This window comes from Homo sapiens, chromosome 9, assembly GCF_000001405.40.
Source record: "Homo sapiens chromosome 9, GRCh38.p14 Primary Assembly".
In the NCBI taxonomy this organism is placed as follows: domain Eukaryota; kingdom Metazoa; phylum Chordata; class Mammalia; order Primates; family Hominidae; genus Homo; species Homo sapiens.
Window position 1 is genome coordinate 136,690,325 of NC_000009.12, and position 20,384 is coordinate 136,710,708.

A 20,384-nucleotide genomic window follows, 5' to 3' on the forward strand; every position below is an offset into this window, starting at 1 on the left:
ACAGCTCAGGGAGCGAGTGAGGACGGAAGGACCAGCCAAGCCTCTCCAATTCCAGGAAGCAGAGATGAAGCCAGTGCTGTGTGGCCCAGGAAGGACTGGCAGGGGCAGGGCAGCCGGGCTTTGAAGACCAGTCCATCTGGCTTTAAACCTAAACCCTGAGTTAGCCAAGGCACCAGAGCCTCGGTTTCCTCATCTGTAAAGTGGAGACGTGACGCTCGCCGTGCCCAGTGTGTGACAGGAGGCAGCTGCCGGGCTGGCGGGGCACATGGGCCTGACTAGGCCTCTCCCCAAAGACCTGCCCCGGAGAGACACCAGGACAAGAGCCAGGGAAGGGGAGAGCTTCTCGGCAGCTGGAGACACGGGGACGTGTGGCCAGGGGGCAGCCACGGCACAGCTGGGCCTCGGGCTGGACCCTTCAGGGGCTCCTTCCTTCCAGGGAGGACATCAAAGCCTGGCTTGGGGGCTGGACGGGGAGGCCAGGCTATGCCGGGACCTCAGCCTGCACAGAGTGGCTGAGGTCCAAGCCGGGCATGCCTGGGGCTCTCGGGCAGAGCGTACCCTGGCCGACGGGTTGTCCGGCCTCCTGGTGGGTGTGCTGGGCGCAATGCCATTCCCACCACCTGTAAATAAAGCAGCCTGTGAATCTTTCATGGGTTTGTGCTTAAAAATAGATGAGGTGAGCCCTCTGGGCTGGCTGCCCAGACCTCTGCAGCAGGCGGGGCGGTCCACACTCTCCCTAGGGAGTCAGGGAGGGCGGGTGAGGGCTCCAAGGGGCGCTGGCCAGGGCACGTGGGACCTTGGGACATATGGCCCCAGATGTAGGAGCCAACAGGAGGTCACGCCTTTGGATGTCCCATCCGGAGCTCTTAGGTCACAGGCTGGGGTGGGAGTGAGGGGCAGAGCACACCCCACAGGGTCCTTCTCCTGCCAGGATGATGTCTGGGCTGGGAGACAGAGGACAGAGGTGGATGGAGAGGACAGGGGCGGGGAGGCATCAGGAGACAGAAGGGAGGAGACGGCCCAGGGAGGAGGGGCCCACACTGCAGTAGCCCTTCCCTGCCCAGAGCAGCTGTGCCCTATGCACGGCCTCTCGCACCCAGCACACCTGTGTCTAAGTGGAGCCTCTGAGGAGCAGGGAGCCCGGGCAAGTCGGGCTCCGTGGCAGGAAGTACCAGAGCAGACGCAGAGCTCCGGCCTCTGACGCAGCCATGGCTGGAGCTCACACAGGACCACGGAGGCCCAGAGGGTGCCTGGGTCCCAGTCCGAGAGGGGTGTGGTGTGGGGCTGAAGAGCCCAGGGTCAGGGTCAGGCAGCCCGACCCAGCGAGGAGACCCTGGGTGACCTTGGATCAGCCCTGCCTCTCTAGGCCTCAGTTTCCCTTTCGTGCAGGGTGCGTGTGATGATTCAGTGGGACCGAGGCTTGGGACGGCCCAGGCCAGCCCAAGCAAGGCAGGGATGAAGGCCCAGCCCCCAGCCTCGGCCTCACCCCATGGCTTTTTACTCACTGCTGAGGGCGGCGTCCAATCAGGCCTAGGGCCTCCAAGCCCCCTCCTCTGGTATCTCGCCTAGGGCACAGGAGGGAGGCAAGTGCCCCAGAGAATGGGCGGTTCAGGAGCCCCCTCCACTACCAAGGCTGCCCCACCCACCACAGCGGGCTCTGCTCCCTGAGCCCCTCCAAGGGCCTCCCGACTGTGGCGGGGCTTGGAGCAGCTGATCCCACTGGGGCAGAGGAGCCGAGGTCCCAACCCCAGCAAGCGGGGGCAGGGGGGCCTGGGCTGCAGTCGGCTCCTCCTTCACCCTTCCCCCAAATACCTCCAGAGCACCTATTTCCCCAGTTTCCCCACCGGCAGTGGTGTCCAGGGGCTTGGCTCTTGCAGGGTGGCCCTGGCTCTGGCCCTGCGCCCTGCCCATGATGTGGTCGGAAGGGCCTTTGGCAGCACCGGTCCAAGCCTTAGCAAACCCAACTGGGGGCTCAGAGCCGCCCCCCAATTTCGGGAGCGACTTCACCTTTCCACAGGATCATCCTCTTGGCAAGATGAGGCTGAGGCCGGGGGTTCGGGGCTCAGCATCGAAAGCCGGGGCCTGGGTGCCACAGGCCGTGACCTCTTCCACCAAATGAGAGAAACGGCAAGACCTCCAGGAAGGGCCGTCGGAGCCCAGACGAGGCTGCAGCTTCCTTTGGTGAAGCGTCCGAGGGCCGGCTCTGGCGCCTACAGGGGCTTCCGACGCTGGGTCCTTCTCAGGCTGAGCGCCGCACTCCCACGGCCACCCGGGTGGTGCACACAGTTTCCAGGGTGTCCAGGCAGCCCCCAGTGGACCTGGTGTCCACGTCCTCCTCTGAACCATGCCAGGCCTGGGCCGTGGGCATCCGTGCTGCCGTGTGGGGCAGGGGCCTGTGTCCTGGGGCCGTGTCAGGCCTGGGCTCCTGTGGGCAGAGGCAGGCGGGCTTCCCTCCCCACCCGACCGCCCACCCGTGGGTTCGCTTCCAACACCCTCTACTCTGCTCCTGGCCCATGGCAGGTGCCCCATTGGTGAGTGAATGAGTGACGGAAGGAGGGAGGAATCCGCCCTTCCGATCCCAGTGGCAGCGTGGACTGTGCAGAGCCTGGAGCCCTCAGTCGTCAGGGGCCACCTGGGAAACGACGCACCGAGAGCCTCTGGACATCCTGGGAAGGAGCGGCCTTCGGGGATGGTGGCTGGGCTTCAGCCAGCACCAGGGGCAGCCTCCGAGATCCAGACAATGGGGCAATGACTGGGACCCAGTGAGGGAGGAGAAGAGGATCTGGAGCCTGGGAACCTAAGGCTGTTTCACGCTGACTCCGTAGAACAAAATCAAATGGAAACACATCAGCTACAACAGGAAATAACCTCTCCGTTTACATAGGGCATATACCAAGTAACCAGTGGAAACCTCTGGAGCATATTTAGACCCCAGGCAGTTCTGTAACAGGGCTCCCGACCCCCTGTGCTCAGCCCGGCTCCCACTGCACTGTGGAGTGCGCGTTCATGTTCCACACGTCTCTGCCTTTGCTGCTTCCTTCTTCCGTTGCTTTGTGCATTTTGTCCAATTCTTTGTTCATGATGCCAAGAACCTGGACACCCTCTGCCGGACATGAGGCTGTGCTGACCTGCCCTCGGCTCGGCCGGCGTCTGCCCCACACTCTCCATTTTCTTCTTTTCCATCCCAGAGGGTTGGGGTGTCTGAGCCCAAGTTGAATTCCAGGTGGAGCTGTGACTTAAATGTCATCAAGGAGACTCCAGCAGGAGTCCAGAGGCCACAGTGAGGGCGGGCGCACGGCAGGCAGGGAGAGAGAGAGGAGGGCAGGACCTGGGTGAGGAGGGAACCAGAGGAGCTGCCCCGGGCGCCTAGCCCAGCTGTGCAGGTTGTGCACTGCACAAGCCTAGAGGGTGTCAGCAACACTAACTACACCTGCAGCCGTGCCTTCCGGAGCAGAGGACACAGGGCTCTGGCCTTTGACCTATACCACGCCCCTTACCACCCCAAGGCCTCAGCACAAGAGCCCTGAGTGCAGGTGAGTAGGTCAGGTCCTCTTGCCTCTGGGTAAGAGGTGAGGGTTAAGGTCCAGCAGCTCAGCCACCCAGCTCCCACCCTCCCCGCCCTGCCGCACCCTGCCTGAGTCACAGCCCCGTCTGAGTCACAGCCTTGGGCAGGTGTGGCAGACGGTGGCCATCCCTGCCGAGCTGACTGCAGCCCTGCCTGCTCCTGGGAGCCGCCTTCCGAGAGCCTGCAGGTCACCTGTGCTGCCCCTGGCAGGGTTGCCAGATTTATCAAACAAAACAAAAACCTAGGGCTCAGGTTAGATCTGCACTTCAGATTGGCAAGGAAGAATATTTTGGCATAAACGTGTCCCGTGTAATATGGGGACATACTTATACTAAAAAATGTTATTTGTTGTTTATCTGAAACTCAGATCTAACTGGGTGTCCTGTATTTCAGCTGGCGACCCCTTCCCCAGCCTAGGGCCAAGTCCAGCAAGGCCGCCCCTGGATTCTCCCCAAGGCCTCTGCGAAGGGCTGGGCAGCACTGCCCTCTGGTGGACAGGCCCCGGGATGGGGTAGGGTGGGGTGGGGTGGAGGCAGCGCCAGGCCACAGGGCAGAGGGACGGAGGGATGACGGGGGACATGTGGCCCCAGACGCGGGAGCCCACAGGAGGTCACGCCTTTGGATCTACCATCCTTCGTCCTTAAAGCGTCCCCAGGGGCACTTGCCACTTGCCATGCTCCAACCTTCCGCACAATCCGAGTCCTCTGATGAGCGCTGGGCTGGGCGGGTACCACCCCAGGAATCCGCGGCCCCTCCAATACTCAGCAGCGCCAGGCAGGAGCCTCCCAGCCCCACCCACGGGGTGCGTCCTCCGAGCAGTGGGTGCCCCCGGGCCGCTAGTGGGAACCAGCATGGAGCGGCCCTGAGACTGCGGCTCTGCCTGCATGACTGGAGCTGCACAGGCGCCTCCGAGCGTTTGAGGTGCACTGAAGTTCCTCCCCTCTGCAAGTCCACCCATCGTAGTTTCTGGGCTTGGGGAATTAGTTTTCCCTCCCTCCCTCCCTCCCTCCCTTCTCTTCCTTTCTCCTTCCCCATTCCTGCCAGTTTCTGGGTGTCCTTCATCCGCATCCCCGGCGCCCCCAGTTTGCTGTTGCTCAATGGCCAGGACCCTCCGCACAGGGCGCGATGCCTGGGGGCCCCGGGCCCTTTGCCTTCAGGGGCTCCTTCCTTGATAAAAATACATTGAAAATTATATTTTATGAGTGTGTTGGTGTAAAGACAGATACAATCTTCCACTCTAAACATTCATTTCCAGCCGGGCGCAGTGGCTCACACCTGTAATCCCAGCACTTTGGGAGTTCAAGGCGGGCAGATCATGAGGTCAGCAGCTCGAGACCAGCCTGGCCAACATGTGAAACCCAGTCTCTACCAAAAATACAAAAATTAGCCAGGCATGCTGGCAGGTGCCTGTAATCCCAGCTACTTGGGAGGCTGGGGCAGGAGAACCGCTTGAGCCTGGGAAGTGGAGATTGCAGTGAGCTGAGATCGTGCCATTGCACTCCAGCCTGGGCAACAGAGTAAGACTCTGTCTCAAAAAAACAAAAACAAAAACACTTTCTTTAAATGACATTAACCTCGCCCTGTTGTTGCTCAGTCACCTGTATAAATAAAGGCAGACACATTCTCTTGCCAGCACACTGCACTGCCCAGCACTGTGGGGCCTGGCTGGGCACAGTGCCCGGGCCCTGGGCCTTCCTCCTCCCCAGCCTCCCAGAGAACCCTGCTGAGAGCACCTGGCTGCGGCCCTGGGGCGACGTCAGGTGGCTCTGTTTTCACGCCACCTTCTTAATAAGCAGGCAGAAGCCAGGCGGGCCAGGAGAATGTGTCCTAGCCCGCAAGACAGATGGTCAAGAGGCCTGGCAGGAGCCCAGTGTCTGCCTGGTGAGACCACAGCTGGTCAGGAGCCCATCCCCACAGGCCCAGGGTCATGGTAGGCTGCACCCCCTGGGGAAAGCCTGCCTTCAGGGAGCTCGGCCTTGTGGGGGAGCCCCACACGTCCCCCCAGGCAGGCACCCGGGTCCTGATCCGTCTGAGCTTTAGGTGAAACCCCCCTTCCCTCTGTGCATCCTGCTCCATCTCCTAGGCTCACCTTCTGTCGAGGAGGGCTGAGCGTCCCCCGCGGAGTCGAGCACAGCAGGGCCAGGATCTTCTCAGGGACCCCCCGTGCCAGCTGCACGCACGGCTCTCCGCAGGGCTGGTGAACCTGTTCCCTGGAGGAATTTACACACCACGGGCTCACACGGCCAGTGCCGATGTGCACTGCTCCCCTTACGTGACATGGGACGGTGACAGGTGTTCGGCCGCCTGCTGTCTTTGCACGTCCATGTGCCCTGAGTGTCTCCGGCCAGGGCCACCTGGCACCAGCTGCTGTCTGTGCCACAGCACCGGTTCTAACCAGCCCCGCCGAGGGGCCCCGGGCGCCCAGGAAGCCACACACCAACACTCCCACCAAGGGCTGTGGGTTGCACAGACCAAGCCCAGAAGCCCACGGGAGGGCAGGAGGTGACAGATGCTGGGAGGTGAGGGTCCCTGGGGCCCCCTGGGGCCTGGCCACCGCACACCCTGTAGGACACACTAGGTCTAGACAGGTAGACTGTGATTAAAACACAATAGGAGGCCTGGAGATTCGACCTGGTGCAGAACTTCCCTGGGCGACACCAGACCCTGCAACACAGGCCCTCAGCAGATTCTCACCGCAGCCCCGACAGCAGGGTGGGCTCCAGGCTGTGCGGGTGAACAGCTGGGGTGTCAAGAGGAGGAGCTGCCCCTCCAAGTCACGTGGTTGAGGCCGTGCAGCCAGGACTGGGGTCTCCTAGGCCAGTCCAGGACTCAGCTCTCCACCACTGCCTGCACCTCCACCCCCCAGCCTGGCGGAGCCTGGGGGGCCTGGGGCGCAAATGAGGCCCAAAGATGTTTTTATTCAGATTGCAAGATTCCTCCCCCTCCTCCCTCCCCTCCCCCTCCTCCCTCCCCTCCCCCTCCTCCCTCCCCTCCCCCTCCTCCCTGCCCTCCTTCCCCTCCCCTCCTCCCTCCCCTCCCCCTCCTCCCTCCCCTCCCCCTCCTCCCTGGCCTCCTTCCCCTCCCCCTCCTCCCTCCCCTCCCCCTCCTCCCTCCCCTCCTTCCCCCTCCTCCTCCTCCTTCCCCCTCCTCCTCCCCCCTCCCCCTCCTCCTCCCCCCTCCCCCTCCTCCTCCCCCTCCCCCTCCTCCTTCCCCCTCCCCCTCCTCCTTCCCCCTCCTATCATCCCTCTCTTTTCCCCTCTTCCCTCTCCCTTCTCCTCCTTCCTCCATCCTTATCTCAACACCCTTGCTGGTCTCTCAGGAGCTTCTAGAGGGAGGAAAAGAAGGTCACAGCTCCACTGAGGGACCCTGATCAGGCCGAAGTCCAGCCAGGCTCAGGGGGAGGCCAAGGGGACTCTGGACTGGGAGCGTCAGGAGCCGCAGGGTCAGCGGCCTGAGCCCAAGGGGCCCTTCGTAGCAGAGCTGAGCAAGCCCCAGGGTGTGTGTGTGTGCACGTGTGTGTGTGCGCGTGTGTGTGCCTGTGCGTGTCAGTGAGCTCTCCGGAAGGAGTGTGTGTGCATGAGTGGGCGTGAGGGAGCTAGCCCTGGCGTGCGCCTGCGTGTGAGAGCGTGTGCGTGCGTGCATGTACATGCCTCCACCCCTCTGCTGAGGTATGGAATCAGCGGTGGTCAGCACGGGGACAGAGACAGGCAAGGTGGTTCCTACCAGATGGGGCTTGGGGGCTAGTGGGGAGCCCAGCAGGAACGGGTGTCTGCATGACCTGTTGGATCAGGAGGGCCTCCACGAAAGGGAGGTCATAGGAGCTGGTCCCCCAGGGTGGATTGCTCACGGGGCCATCAGGCGGGTGGTTGGAATTCCTGGCATAGGGAATAGCATTGGCTCCAAGGCAAGGCAGGACCAGATGAATTCTGGGACCAAAAGAAGACGGGACCAGAGGAGGATGGGTAGGGGGCTAGTGAGGCTGGGGTCCCAGGGAAGGGCAGTCTGTTCCCCCGAGGTTGTGCCTGGGGAGAGAGGGAAGCAGCCCCCCGAAGGGCCGCTGCCCCAGAGTCCAGTCAGCGCTGCCACCAGGGAGTCCCACGAGACTGGGGTGGGCTGCGTCTCTGCCTCAGCTACCCCCAGGGGTACCCTGCTCTCTGGAGCAGGTTATGATAGAAAGCCACCCGTTCAAAGTCTCTGACCCAGAAATGTCACCTGCAGGAATCTGTCCCCAGTTAATAATTAAGGAACGGGACACAGACATAGCCAGTTGTGCAAACAGTGTGTTTCAGAAAAAGAGACAGTTTAGACATCCTAAGTACCCACCAAGAGACACTTGGTTGCATAAATTACGGTCGATCCAGGAAACAGAACATTATGCAACTTTTTTTTTTTTTTTTGAGACGGAGCCTTGCTCTGTCACCCAGGCTGGAGTGCAGTGGCGTGACCTCGGCTCACTGCAAGCTCCTCCTCTTGGGTTCAAGTGATTCTCCTGCCTCAGCTCCCCAGTAGTTGGGACTACAAGCACACGCCACCACGCCCGGCTAATTTTTGTATTTTTAATAGAGATGGGGTTTCACCACGTTGGCCAGGCTCATCTCGAACTCCTGACTTCAGGTGATCCACCCACCTCGGCCTCCCAAAGTGCTGGGATTACAGGTGTGAGCCACCATGCCTGGCAGCAACTTTTACGGTGGAGCTGAGGTCCAGAATGTCCTGAACTTGAATTCATATCCCTTTAAAGGAGGTGCACATTCCCCAGGATCCTGGAGATCGGCCTGAAGACCCACAGGGATCTCACGGTGCTGCCTGGTCACCCTCACGAAGTCCACGATGTTGGGGAAAAAACAGTCTTTTTGATGCCCAAGGGAAGCTTTGCTTTTATGTTAGTGGTTACACAATTTCTTTTACATATCATCAGCAGGAAAACATCATGTTTAAAACTTTGCTTAGAACATGTGATTCCCCAAACGCTGCGTGCGGAAGGCCGCAGGGTCCTCTGCCTAGGAAAACCAGAGACCTTTGTTCACTTGTTTATCTGCTGACCTTCCCTCCACTATTGTCCTATGACCCTGCCAAATCCCCCTCTGCGAGAAACACCCAAGAATGATCAATAAAAAAAAAAAAAAAAAAAAGAACATGTGATTCCCAATAATATGGCTGAGACCCTCAGTTCTTTTGAAAAAAGCAACAAGGTAAAGTAGCCCCTTTATGCCAAATGCATATGTCTGTGCCTGTGTATGTTTTTACGGCTGTGTGACTGTGTGTGTGTACATATAGTCAAAAGTTCCCAATCTGTCATGCCTGTAATCCCAGCTCTTTGGGAGGCCGAGGCCAACAGATCACCTGAGGTTGGGAGTTCCAGACCAGCCTGACTAACATGGAGAAACCCCATCTCTACTAAAAATACAAAAAATTAGCTGTGCGTGGTGGCAGGCGCCTGTAATCCCAGCTACTCAGGAGGCGGAGGCAGGAGAATCGCTTGTACCCGGAAGGCAGAAGTTGCAGTGAGCCGAGATGGTGCCACTGCACTCCACTCCAGCCTGGGAAACAAGAGCGAAACTCCGTCTCAAAAAAAAAAGGTCTCAATCTGGAAGGATACACATTTGGGTTCCACAGTGATTCCATCTGTCGGATGGCCAGGTCACAGCTGACTTTACTTATTTTTGCTTACCTGTATTTTTTTTTTTGAGATGGAGTCTCCCTGTGTTGCCCAGGCTGGAGTGCAATGGTGTGATCTCGGCTCACTGCAGCCTCCGCCTCTGGGTTCAAGCGATTCTCCTGCCTCAGCTTCCCGAGTAGCTGGAATTACAGATGCCCATCACCATGCCCAGCTAATTTTTGTATTTTTAGTAGAGACGGGGTTTCACCATGTTTGCCAGGCTATTCGCGAACTCCTGACCTCAAGTGATCCGCCCGCTTCAGCCTCCCAAAGTGCTGTGATTACAGGCGTGAGCCACCGCACCCAGCCCTTACCTATATTTTTTTATTGAAGTGAAATTCATGTAACATAAAATTATTCTAAAGTGTACAATTTGGCCGGGCACAGTGGCTCATGCCTGTAATCCTGACACCTTGAGAGGCTGAGGTGGGCAGATCACCTGAGATCAGGAGTTCGAGACCAGCCTGGCCAACATGGTAAAACACTGTCTCTACTAAAAATACAAAAATTAGCTGGGTGTGGTGGCGCATGCCTGTAATCCCAGCTACCTGGGAGGCCGAGGCGGGAGAATCACGTGAACCCAGGAGGCGGAAGTTGCAGTGAGCCAAGATGGTACCATTGCACTCCAGCCTGGGCAACAGAGTGAGACTCCATCTCAAAAAAAAAAAAAAGTGTATAATTTAGCACTTTCAGTTTTTTGCAACGCCTCCAATGTTTTGCAACCATCACCTCCAGAACATTTTCATCCCCCCAAAGGGAAACGCCTTCCCCATAGGCACTCGCTCCCCACTGCTCCCTCCCCCAGCCCATGGCAACCACTCATCTTCGTGTGTCTGTGGATTTGCCCGTTCTGGAAATTTCATAGAAGCGGAATCAGGACCATGTGGACCTTTGTGCCTGGATTCTTTCACTCAGCATGACAGCTTCACGACTCACCCACATAGCCTGGGCCAGAACTTCATTCCTCTGGCCGGGCACAGGGCCTCACGCCTGGAATCCCGGCACTTTGGGAGGCGAGATGGGGGAGGATCACTTGAGGCCAGGAGTTTGAGACCAGCCTGGACAGCATAGTGAGATCCCATCTCTACTAAAAATAAAACGTTAGCTGGGCGTGGTGGTACATGCCTGTAATCCCAGCTACTCGGGAGGCTGTGGCACGAGAATTGCTTGAACCCGGGAGATGGAGGTTGCAGTGAGCCGAGATCGCACCACTGCACTGCAGCCTGGAGGATACAGCAAGACTGTGTCTCCAAAAAAAAAAAAAAAATCAGCCAGGTGTGCTGGCAGGTGCCTGTAATCCCAGCTACTCGGGAGGCTGAGGCACGAGAATCGCTTGAACCTGGGAGGTGGAGGTTGCACTGGGCCAAGGTTGCCCCACTGCACTCCATCCTGGGAGACAGAGCGAGACTCCACCTCAAAAAAAAAAAAAAAAAGCTCATGCTGTCTACAGGGAAAGCCCCTACTGGAGACAGCTGCGCTTGAGTGAGTGGGACTACAGTGCCAACGCTAGGGCTTATTGTGTTGACTGTGGGGTCACCGCGGTTGCCACGTTCCGAGGACACGGTCACTTCCTCGACCGCCTGTCCTGCCTCAGATGAACCTGCATATTTTACAATGAACGTTCAAGACGTCGGTGATAAGGACATGAACAACAGCGACAAGGGCTGTTTTAGAGGAACCCGCCTGAGGTTCCCGGCCCCAGCCTCTCGAAGGACGCAGCTCTGTGCTCAGCCCTGCCTCCCTTGTCTCTCCACCCCCACCTTCCTGTGTGCTTCAGCCCACCTGGGACATCCGAATTTTCTCCAGGAGGAGCGGCAGGTACTAGGGTGATGACAGTTATGAACACGAGTCACAGCCCCGCTCGGTGGGATGGCCTCCTGTGTTCCCTGTGACTCGGACGCTGAACGTTGCTCACACGTTGACAGCATGGAGACGGTTTCACCGTCTGCTACTTTCGAGTTTATTGTGGTGTCTCTCTGCGTCACCCTCATTTTGAGCAGCTGTGGAGGATCCGGGGGCCCCAGCGCCCGCAGGATTCAGGTTTGTCTCCGCCGGCCAGGACATCCTCACAAAGCAGACGTTTCCTCCCCACGGGTCTGGAGGCTGGGGGTGGGGGCGCCCCGTGGTCCGGCTCTGGTGAGGGTCCTCTTCCTGGCAGATCCTGGGAACCCGCCTGAGGTTCCCAGCCCTGGCCTCTCTAAGGATCCAGCCCTTTTCCCCGTTCTCAGCCCTGCCTCCCTTCTCTAGTGCCTTCTTGCTGCGTCCTGACGCGAGGGTGGGATAAGGAATAAGGGGAGGGCACCTGTGCCCTTTCTACTAAGGCCCACCCTCATGACCTCATCCACCCCCAGGCACCTCCCATAGGCTACATCGTCAATACCCTCTCCTTGCAGGTTAGGGCTTCCAGGAAGGAATTTAGTGGGGACACGATTCAGTCCCCCCACTTACACCTTTGCAAATAGCAAGAGAGGGCTGGATATGGTGGCTCACGTCTGTAATCCCAGCACTTTCGGAGGCCAAGGCGGGTGGACCACCTGAGGTCAGGGGTTCGAGACCAGCCTGGCCAACATGGTGAAACTCCATCTCTACTAAAAATACAAAAAATTAGCCGGGCATGGTGGTGCGCGCCTGTAGTCCCAGCTACTCAGGAGGCTGAGGCAGGAGAATTGCTTGAACCTGGGAGGTGGAGGTTGCAGTGAGCCGAGATCGTGCCACTGCACTCCAGCCTGGGTGACAAAAGTGAAACTCTGTCTCGGATAAAAAAAAAAAAAATAGCAAGAGAGGTTCAATCACCTATACATGGAAGGAACACAGGGAGATTGACACACACACACACACACGCACGCGGGCACACACCCATGTGCACACACACACACAGAGCTAAATGACAAAAATGAAAATGGTACCACACTGCACGTGCTGCCCTGCACCTTGATTTTGATACTGCAGTGGGTTAAATGGTGCCCCCCAAAAGATAAGTCCCCCTGGAATGTGTAAATGTAACTTTCTGTGGAAATGGGGTCTTTACAGCTGTAATTAGGTTAAAGACCTCGAGTGAGATCAATTTTGCCTTTTTTTTTTTTTTTTTTTTTTTGAGATGGAGTCTCACTCTGTCACCCAGGCTGGAGTAAAATGGCGCGATCTCGGCTCTCTGCAACCTCCGTCTCCCCGGTTCCCGCGATTCTCCTGCCTCGGCCTCCCGAGTAGCTGGGATTATAGGCGCCCACCACCACACCCAGCTAATATTTGTATTTTTAGTAGAGATGGGTTTTCACCATGTTGGCCAGGCTGGTCTCAAACTCTTGACCTCAGGTGATCTGCCCGCCTCGGCCTCCCAAAGTGCTGGGATTACAGGTGTGAGCCACTGCACCTGTATAGTTCAAGATAGTTTTACAAGATGGAAAAGTTCTGGAGCCAGATGGCAGTGAGGGCTGTACAACAATGTGAACATACCTAATGTCACTGACTGTGTGCTTAAAAATGATTTAGAGGGCCGGGCGCGGTGGCTCACGCCTGTAACCCCAGCACTCTGGGAGGCCAAGGCGGGTGGATCACCTGAGGTCAGGAGTTCGAGACCAGCCTGGCCAACAAGGTGAAATCCCATCTCTACTAAAACTACAAAAAATTAGCTGGGCCTGGTGGCAGATGCCTGTAATCCCAGCTACTCGGGAGGCTGAGGCAGGAGAATTGCTTGAACCAGGGAGGCGGAGGTTGCGGTGAGCCGAGATCACACCACAGCACTCCAATCTGGGCGACAAGAGCGAGACTCTGTCTCAAAAGAAAGAAAGAGAGAAAGAAAAGATGTGTCTCTGCGAGCAGAAGGTCTTGCCGCTCTGACAGTCACAGATGTGTAGGTCTCCTGACCGCAGCTGCACTCCCACCGAGGGCAGAAACTAGGAAGTCCTTGGAGCTTTGGTTCCCTTGACAGATGGGGGTGGAGCCCCCAGTGTTATTAAGGAGGCATGGCCCAGCTGCTCCTGCACCTTTCCAGCCAACTCTAGATCTGTCCTGGGGGCACAGTGAAAGGTCTCTGAAGTCTGTGGCATGTCCTGCTGCTCTAAGGGGGGCTCTGGCCCATTTCAGGAGGTTTTGCTGACAGACAAACTCACAGGAAGCCACAGTTGAGACACGGGGTTTGCAGTCCTGGTGAAGGGAAAGTGACTGTCCTAGTCAGCTTTGACAAAACACCACAAGCCAGGTGGCTTACAAACAATGGAAATGCATTTCTCACAGTGATGGAGGCCAGAAAGTCCAATATCGAGGTGCAGGCAGATTCCGTGTCTGGTGAGCGCCCGCCTCCTGATAGACGTCACGTGGTGAATGCAGTCAGGGGTCTCCTGGCAGCCGGGGTGGGGGTCTCTTCTTTTTTTTTTTTGAGATGGAGTTTCGCTCTTGTTGCCCAGGTTGGAGTGTAATGGCGCAATCTTGGCTCACTGCAACCTCCGCCTCCCGGGTTCAAGTGACTCTCCTGCCCCAGCCTCCCGAGTAGCTGGGATTACAGGTGCCCGCCACCACCCCAGGCTGATTTTTGTATTTTTAGTAGAGACGGGGTTTCACCATGTTGGCCAGGCCGATCTCGAACTCCTGACCTCAGGTGATTCACCTGCCTCGGCCTCCCAAAGTGCTGGGATTACAGGCTTGAGGCCCCGTGCCCGGCCAGGGGTCTCCTTTATAAAGGCCCTGATCTCATTCATGAGAACTCCACCCTTATGACCTTGTCACCTCCCAAAGGCACCACCTCCCAAAACCATCTATATTAGTCCATTCTCACATGGGTACAAAGAAATACCTGAGACTGGGTAATTTAGAAAGAAAAGAGGTTGAATTGGCCCACAGTTCCTCAGACTGTACAGAAAGCATAGCGGCTTCTGCTTTTGGGGAGGCCTCAGGAAACATCATCGTGGCAGAAGGTGAAGGGGACACAGGTGTGTCCTACGTGGCTGGAGCAGGAGGAAGAGGCACCACTGAATTTTATTTATTTATATTTATCTATTTATTTATTTTGAGATGAGTTTTGCTCTTGTCACCCAGGCTGGAGTGCAGTGACACGATCTTGACTCACTGCAACCCCTGCTTCCCAGGTTCAAGCGATTCTTCTGCCTCAGCCTCCCGAGTAGCTGGGACTACATGCACCTGCCACCATGCGTGGCTAATTTCTGTATTTTTGGTAGAGAAGGACTTTCACCATGGTGGCCAGGCTGGTCTGGAACTCCTGACCTCAGGTGATCTGCCCGCCTCGGCCTCCCAAAAGGCTGGGATTACAGGCGTGAGCCACCATGCCCTGCCCGGCTAGATTAAAGTTGTTTAAAGCAAAATAAGGAGCAGTCATTGCCTGAGGCCGTCTCTGTACTGGGAGTTCCCACTAACCAACAACAACTTTATTCAGTAGTTTGTTAACAGATAGCCAGGTTTCAACCAATCAATCACGGGCAGCCAACCAATCAGACCACACCCAAATAAGGCAAAGGTCTTGAGTTATTTCTTTTCTTTTTTTTTTCTTTTTCTTTTTTTTTTTTTTTTTTGAGACAGAGTCATGCTCTGTTGCTCAGGCTGGAGTGCAGTGGTGTGATCTCGGCTCACTGCAACCTCCGCCTCCTGGGTTCAAGCGATTCTCCTGCCTCAGCCTCCCGATTAGCTGGGATTACAGGTGCACACCACCATGCCCAGCTAATTTTTGTATTTTTAGTAAAGACGGGGTTTCACCATGTTGGCCAGGCTGGTCTTGAACTCCTGACCTCATGTGATCTGCCTGCCTCGGCCTCCCAAACTGCTGGGATTACAGGTGTGAGCCACGGTGCCTAGCCTGGCCTTGAGTTATTTCCGTACTTCACTTCCACATTCAGCCTGTAAAAGCCTGCTGCTCACACTGCTAAGACAGAGCTCCCAGAGCCTCTTCCACCTTTGAGTGCTGCCTGATTCATGCCTCCTTTAATGCTCAAATCAACTCTGTTACATCTATTTTGTCTAAAGTAGGAAGAATCCTCAAATAAGATTGCCACTGGGACACCAAGCTCGAGTTGGCCAAATGGTGCAAACTCCACAGATCCAGCTGAAAACAACATGGCAATGGCTACTAAGCCATGGGGCTCCCAAAACTGAAGTAGATGGGTCAGCTGTGAGAAGCTCACTGCCTGGTACGGAGCATTGGATGGATTGAAAATCATGGAACAGTCCCTGGCTGAGTCATGAGCCGTTGCCACGCTGCCTGAAAATAAACGCAGAACCTTGTTCATGGACTTCCTCCTTCCACCTCTCACCCCCCTCCACTTACGTTAGGAAGAAAGATGATTAGAGGTTCCCAGGCCGTGGGCACCATCCAAGTGTGCTGGAGAACTTGGAGGAGAAGAAGAACTCAAACTTTATGGCTCTGTCGGATATGAGTAGCCCACATCACTCTCCTGTTTGGACCAGTGGAAGGAAAAGTTCTCTGGATTCCGCTCACCGGATTTGTGCACGGTTTGAAATGGGGAGTGAAGGCTGATGTGATCTTGTGGGTGTGGCATTTTGGGCCAATTCGATGCCCTGTTTTTGATGCTTCTATGTGTGTGTTGCCGCGTAGGAGCTGTGTTTCATCCCCATACTTCCATCCTGTACGTGCCAGAGGGGACTCTCCCTATTGGCAAGCACTGAATGCAGAGAAGGGCCAGTGGGATGTGTGAATCTCTCTGCAACCCGCTTTCAGGGCGGGTACAGAATCCCAGAAGCGGTACAGAATCCCAGAGGGAAAAAGGCGCATCAGAGGTTTGATTGAGGGATTAAGGGCAGTAGGGGGACTAAGAGATGAAATATGGGGCTGGGCGTGGTGGCTCACGCCTGTAATCCCAGCACTTTGAGAGACTGAGGCCGGTAGATCACTTGACACCAGGAGTTAGAGACCAGCCTGGTCAACATGGTGAAACCCCGTCTCTACTAAAAATACAAAAAAATTAGCCAGGTGTGGTGGCGGGCACCTATAGTCCCAGCTATTCGGGAGGCTGAGGCATAAGAATCCCTTGAACCCATCACTTGAACCCGGGAGGTGGAGGTTGCAGTGAGCCGAGATCGTGCCACTGCACTCCAGCCTGGACAACAGGGTGAGAGTCTGCCTCAAAAAAATAAAGGCTGGTCGTGGTGGCTCAAGCTTCTAATCCCAGCACTTTGGGAAGCCGAGGCGGGTGAATCATCTGAGGTCAGGAGTTCAAGACCAGCCTGGCCAACATGGAGAAACCCAGTCTCTACTAAAACTACAAAAATTAGCTGGGCATAGTGGCGGGCCCCTATAGTTCCAGCTACTCGCGAGGCTGAGGCAGGAGAATCATGTGAACCCAGGAGGCAGAGGCTGCAGTGAGCCGAGATCACGCCACTGCACTCCAGCCTGGGTGACAATCACTGGGTGACACTCCGTGTCAAAAAAAAAAAAAAGAGATGAAATATGGCAACACAACATCCCTGAGTGGCCAGTGGAGCAGGTAAGAGCTGCTGGTGGCTGACAGTGGATTACCACCAACAGAAGTCAGCCATTGCTCCCAGAGCCCTAGCTGTCCTACACACTGTGACCATACCGAGCCCATCACGTGGGCTCCGGGTACTTGGTACACTGTCTTGGATCCTGCCAATGCCTTTTTGCCACACCACTGGCAGGGGAGGAGCAAGACCAGCTTGCATTCACATGGCCAGGTCTCCAATACACTTAGGTGTGTTCCCCGTACACGCCCCGCCACTGGCCACCTGTGGGCAGGTTAGGACTTCTGATGTCCACAGGTGCCATGATACAGATGATGTCCTGCAGGTTGGCAGCTCAGAAGCCTTGGGTCTCTAGAACTAGACAACTAGACGGGGGTACTCTCATACCTCCCTGTCCACAGAGGCAGGCAAAACATCAACAGCGTCCAGTGGCTGCCTCACCAGGTGGAGTTTCTTGGGATGAGGTAGGTGGAGGTGGGTCCACAGCACTCACTGCCTCAGCCAGTCAAGGAAAACCTGTTGTCTCTTTGCTCCCTCATCTCACCCAAAAGGACAACCCAGCACTTGATTGGACTGTGTGGGTGTTGGAGACAGGATGTGCTTCATTTGGGCATTCGACTTGGCTTCTTAAATTAGTGAATCCAGGTCGGGCGAGGTGGCTCACGCCGGTAATCCCAGAACTTTGGGAGGCCGAGGGGGGTGGACCACCTGAGGTCAGGAATTTGAGACCAGCCTGGCCAACATAGCAAAACCCTGTCTCTACTAAAAATATAAAAATTAGCCAGACGTGGTGGTGTGTGCCCGTAATCCCAGCTACTCGGGAGGCCGAGGCAGGAGAATCGCTTGCACCTGGGAGGTGGAGGTTGCAGTGAGCCGAGATCACACCACTACATTCCAGCCTGGGCAACAGAGTAAGACTTGGTATCAAAAAAATAATAATATAAATAAAATAAATTAGTGAACCCACAAATCAGCCTGCTTACGTCAGGGCCTGAACCAACAGGCTATTCCAGCTGCCGCCCCGTGAGCCACAGGCCACTCTCTCTCCCGCTGGGGCCTCACAGCCCTGTGATCCCTTTGAACGACAAGTCCCTGTGGCTGACGATCCCGTTATCTGGAAACTCCAGAGAAAGAAAACAGCCTCTGCCCAGATGTGCCCCTTGGGGTGGTGGATTCACTGACTCTCTGACACGACTACTAGGTTCACCCCTTGTTTTCAAAAAGCAAAATTAGCTTACAACGAGCTCTTGTCCCAGTGAACCACCTGACCACGGAGGCCTTGTGACTGGAGCCTGACAGTCCCATTCGGAGGGTTTTCAACTCAGACACAACCACCACAAGGAAGGAGGGCCCTAGAGCTTCTCTTTGCAAACAGAAGACTCTGTATTCAACAGCAGCGGGCGGGTCCCCGGTGATATGTCAGCTTCTCATCGGAAGTGGCAGCTCTCCCTTTGGGGGAAACTTGACGCGCCGCACTCCACCGTCTGAGGGAAAGCTCGTGGCTCTCCAGGGCCCTCGATCCACCAGGGCCCCCTAAACGGCTGCTCACCTGGTGTGCTCACCGGCTTGCTGTCAATAAATACGTGGGTAAATCTCTGTTCGAGGCTCTCAGCTCTGAAGGCTGTGAGACCCGATTTCCTATTTCACACCTCTATATTTCTCTGTGTGTGTCTTTAATTCCTCTAACGCCGCTCGGATAGGGTCTCCCTGACTGAGCTGGTCTCAGCACGTCTCTACTAAAAATACAAAAAAAGGCCAGGCGTGGTGGCTCACGCCTGTAATCCCAGCACTTTGGGAGGCCGAAGCGGGCGGATCACGAGGTCAGGAGATCGAGACCATCCTGGCTAACACAGTGAAACTCCGTCTCTACTAAAAATACAAAAAATTAGCTGGGCGCCGTGGCAGGCGCCTGTAGTCCCAGCTACTCGGGAGGCTGAGGCAGGAGAAAGGCGTGAACCCAGGAGGCGGAGCTTGCAGTGAGCTGAGATTGCCCCACTGCACTCCAACCTGGGCAACGGAGCGAGACTCTATCTCAAAAAAAAGGTCTGGGTGTGAGTAGGGGATGCCTGGGGAAGAGACGCAGTTATAGCAGTTGGAATGGGACATGCCAGTTTTGCAGCAGGGCAGGGAGAGCAATGGGCCCCCTGCTTGGGGAGGAAACTCCCAGGCCTCAGGACGAATGGGAAGGAAAGACAGGGCAGGAAGGTCCTCCACTTTCAGAATTGTCCCCGGAGCCTGCCCCGAAGGTGTGTGTGATCCTGTGTCTCTGCGTCTGTGTCTGTGCAGTGGACCTTTCGTTTACCTGTCGTTTGCCCTGGCCAGGGTTTGAGCTCAGGGCCTCAGGCCACGAAAGGCCCTAGAAACAGCAAGGCACGGCCCAGTTCCCGCCCCCACACCTGAGATACCAGTCAGCACCTCCCGGGTCCTCTGCCCCATTCATGTTCCAGGCAGGTGGATGTCACCCATTGGTGGCGTAGAAACAAGGGCCCCAAAACGAGAACTAGACCCATTCAAACTGAACTGGAACCCGGCCAGTGCCCATTCCATGAACACTTGATGGGCTAGTGGCCACGGACAGTGTGCAGGTTCTGGGCCAGGCCTGCAGATGCAAAGGAGAACGTGGTCACTGGTCCCTGCCTGGAGGGAGCACCGCGTCCCGCGGGCCCTGCTGGGAAATGCCTTTTTGGAAGATCTCGGGGACAGGGTCACCCAGGGCCGGCTATGCGCTCACCAGGCACTCCTCCCAGGGCGGGCCATCTCCCTCCTGGCAGCCTGGGAGTGGCACTGAGGCTGCGCTCATCCTTCTCATGGCCCACACCTTCCCCAGATCCTGACCCACGGATCACGCTCTCCTGCGCCCCTCCCCCAGGAAGCCCTCCTCGGGAGACCCTCCAGAACTTTCTTGGCCGCGGTCTTGGCCTGGCTCACATTGACGGAAGGTGTGGGCTCCTGCACCCTCCAGCTGAGCTCCCTGCAGGCCGGACCGACCACCACTGCCCTGCACCCACTCCCCCTGGCCCTGGGACAGCCCTCCTGCAGGAGGAGGACAGGCCATGCAGGGAAGCACATGCTCTCCCAGCTGTAAACATGGCAAGGCCTCCCTCCAGGCCGGGAGAAGCCTACGTGTTGGCCTCTTGGTGCTTGTGCTCTGTGTCCCACCCTCTCGTACTGCTCTTCCCTTTCTTGGGCTCCGGGACCCTCGCTGGCAGAGAGACAGTGCTTGGATCGAGGGAGAGAGGAAAGGTCACTTGGGGACATGGCAGTCCCTCTTCCCAGCCTGGGCTACGGCTACCTTGGGGGTCACTGAGACTGGGAGGGTCTGCCTGCTACTTTCTCCCACTGGCCCCTCTCCCCTTCCTCACGTTGCCTCCAGCCCTGTCCATCCAGGTCGCTGGCCTAGGCCACTGCCACACCCCCAGGCCCACCCCTCCTTTCTATACCTGGCATAGAACCCTGACCCCATTGCCCCCTGGCCTTGTCCCTCTCTGTTTAACTCCCTGCCATGCAATTCTGTGGGGAGGGGCTCATCCTTTCAACAGATGATGCCAGAAGGATTGGATGTCCATGTGCAAAAAATGCTAACAAAACCCCCAAGCCCCAAACTGAAAACCCTCTGATCCACACCCTGCACAATACACAAAAGTTAACTGGAATTGGGTCATTGACTTAAATATGAAGCCGAATACTATACAACTTCTAGAAGAAAGCACAGAAAAC

The 20,384-nt window shown here is 56.7% G+C and overlaps 4 annotated features.

Annotated features, from left to right (window-relative positions):
• Window positions 6,764-7,274: an enhancer, noted in NCBI's record as "H3K27ac-H3K4me1 hESC enhancer chr9:139591540-139592050 (GRCh37/hg19 assembly coordinates)". NCBI's record gives its function as "activates a minimal SCP1, AML or CMV promoter by ChIP-STARR-seq in naive and primed H9 embryonic stem cells {active_cell/tissue: H9 hESC(naive and primed)}" and the evidence as "EXISTENCE:reporter gene assay evidence [ECO:0000049][PMID:30033119]".
• Window positions 7,275-7,783: an enhancer, noted in NCBI's record as "H3K27ac-H3K4me1 hESC enhancer chr9:139592051-139592559 (GRCh37/hg19 assembly coordinates)". NCBI's record gives its function as "activates a minimal SCP1, AML or CMV promoter by ChIP-STARR-seq in primed H9 embryonic stem cells {active_cell/tissue: H9 hESC(primed)}" and the evidence as "EXISTENCE:reporter gene assay evidence [ECO:0000049][PMID:30033119]".
• Window positions 10,846-11,005: an enhancer, noted in NCBI's record as "active region_29319". NCBI's record gives its function as "activates an Ori minimal core promoter by ATAC-STARR-seq in GM12878 lymphoblastoid cells {active_cell/tissue: GM12878}" and the evidence as "EXISTENCE:reporter gene assay evidence [ECO:0000049][PMID:35858748]".
• Window positions 11,046-11,095: an enhancer, noted in NCBI's record as "active region_29320". NCBI's record gives its function as "activates an Ori minimal core promoter by ATAC-STARR-seq in GM12878 lymphoblastoid cells {active_cell/tissue: GM12878}" and the evidence as "EXISTENCE:reporter gene assay evidence [ECO:0000049][PMID:35858748]".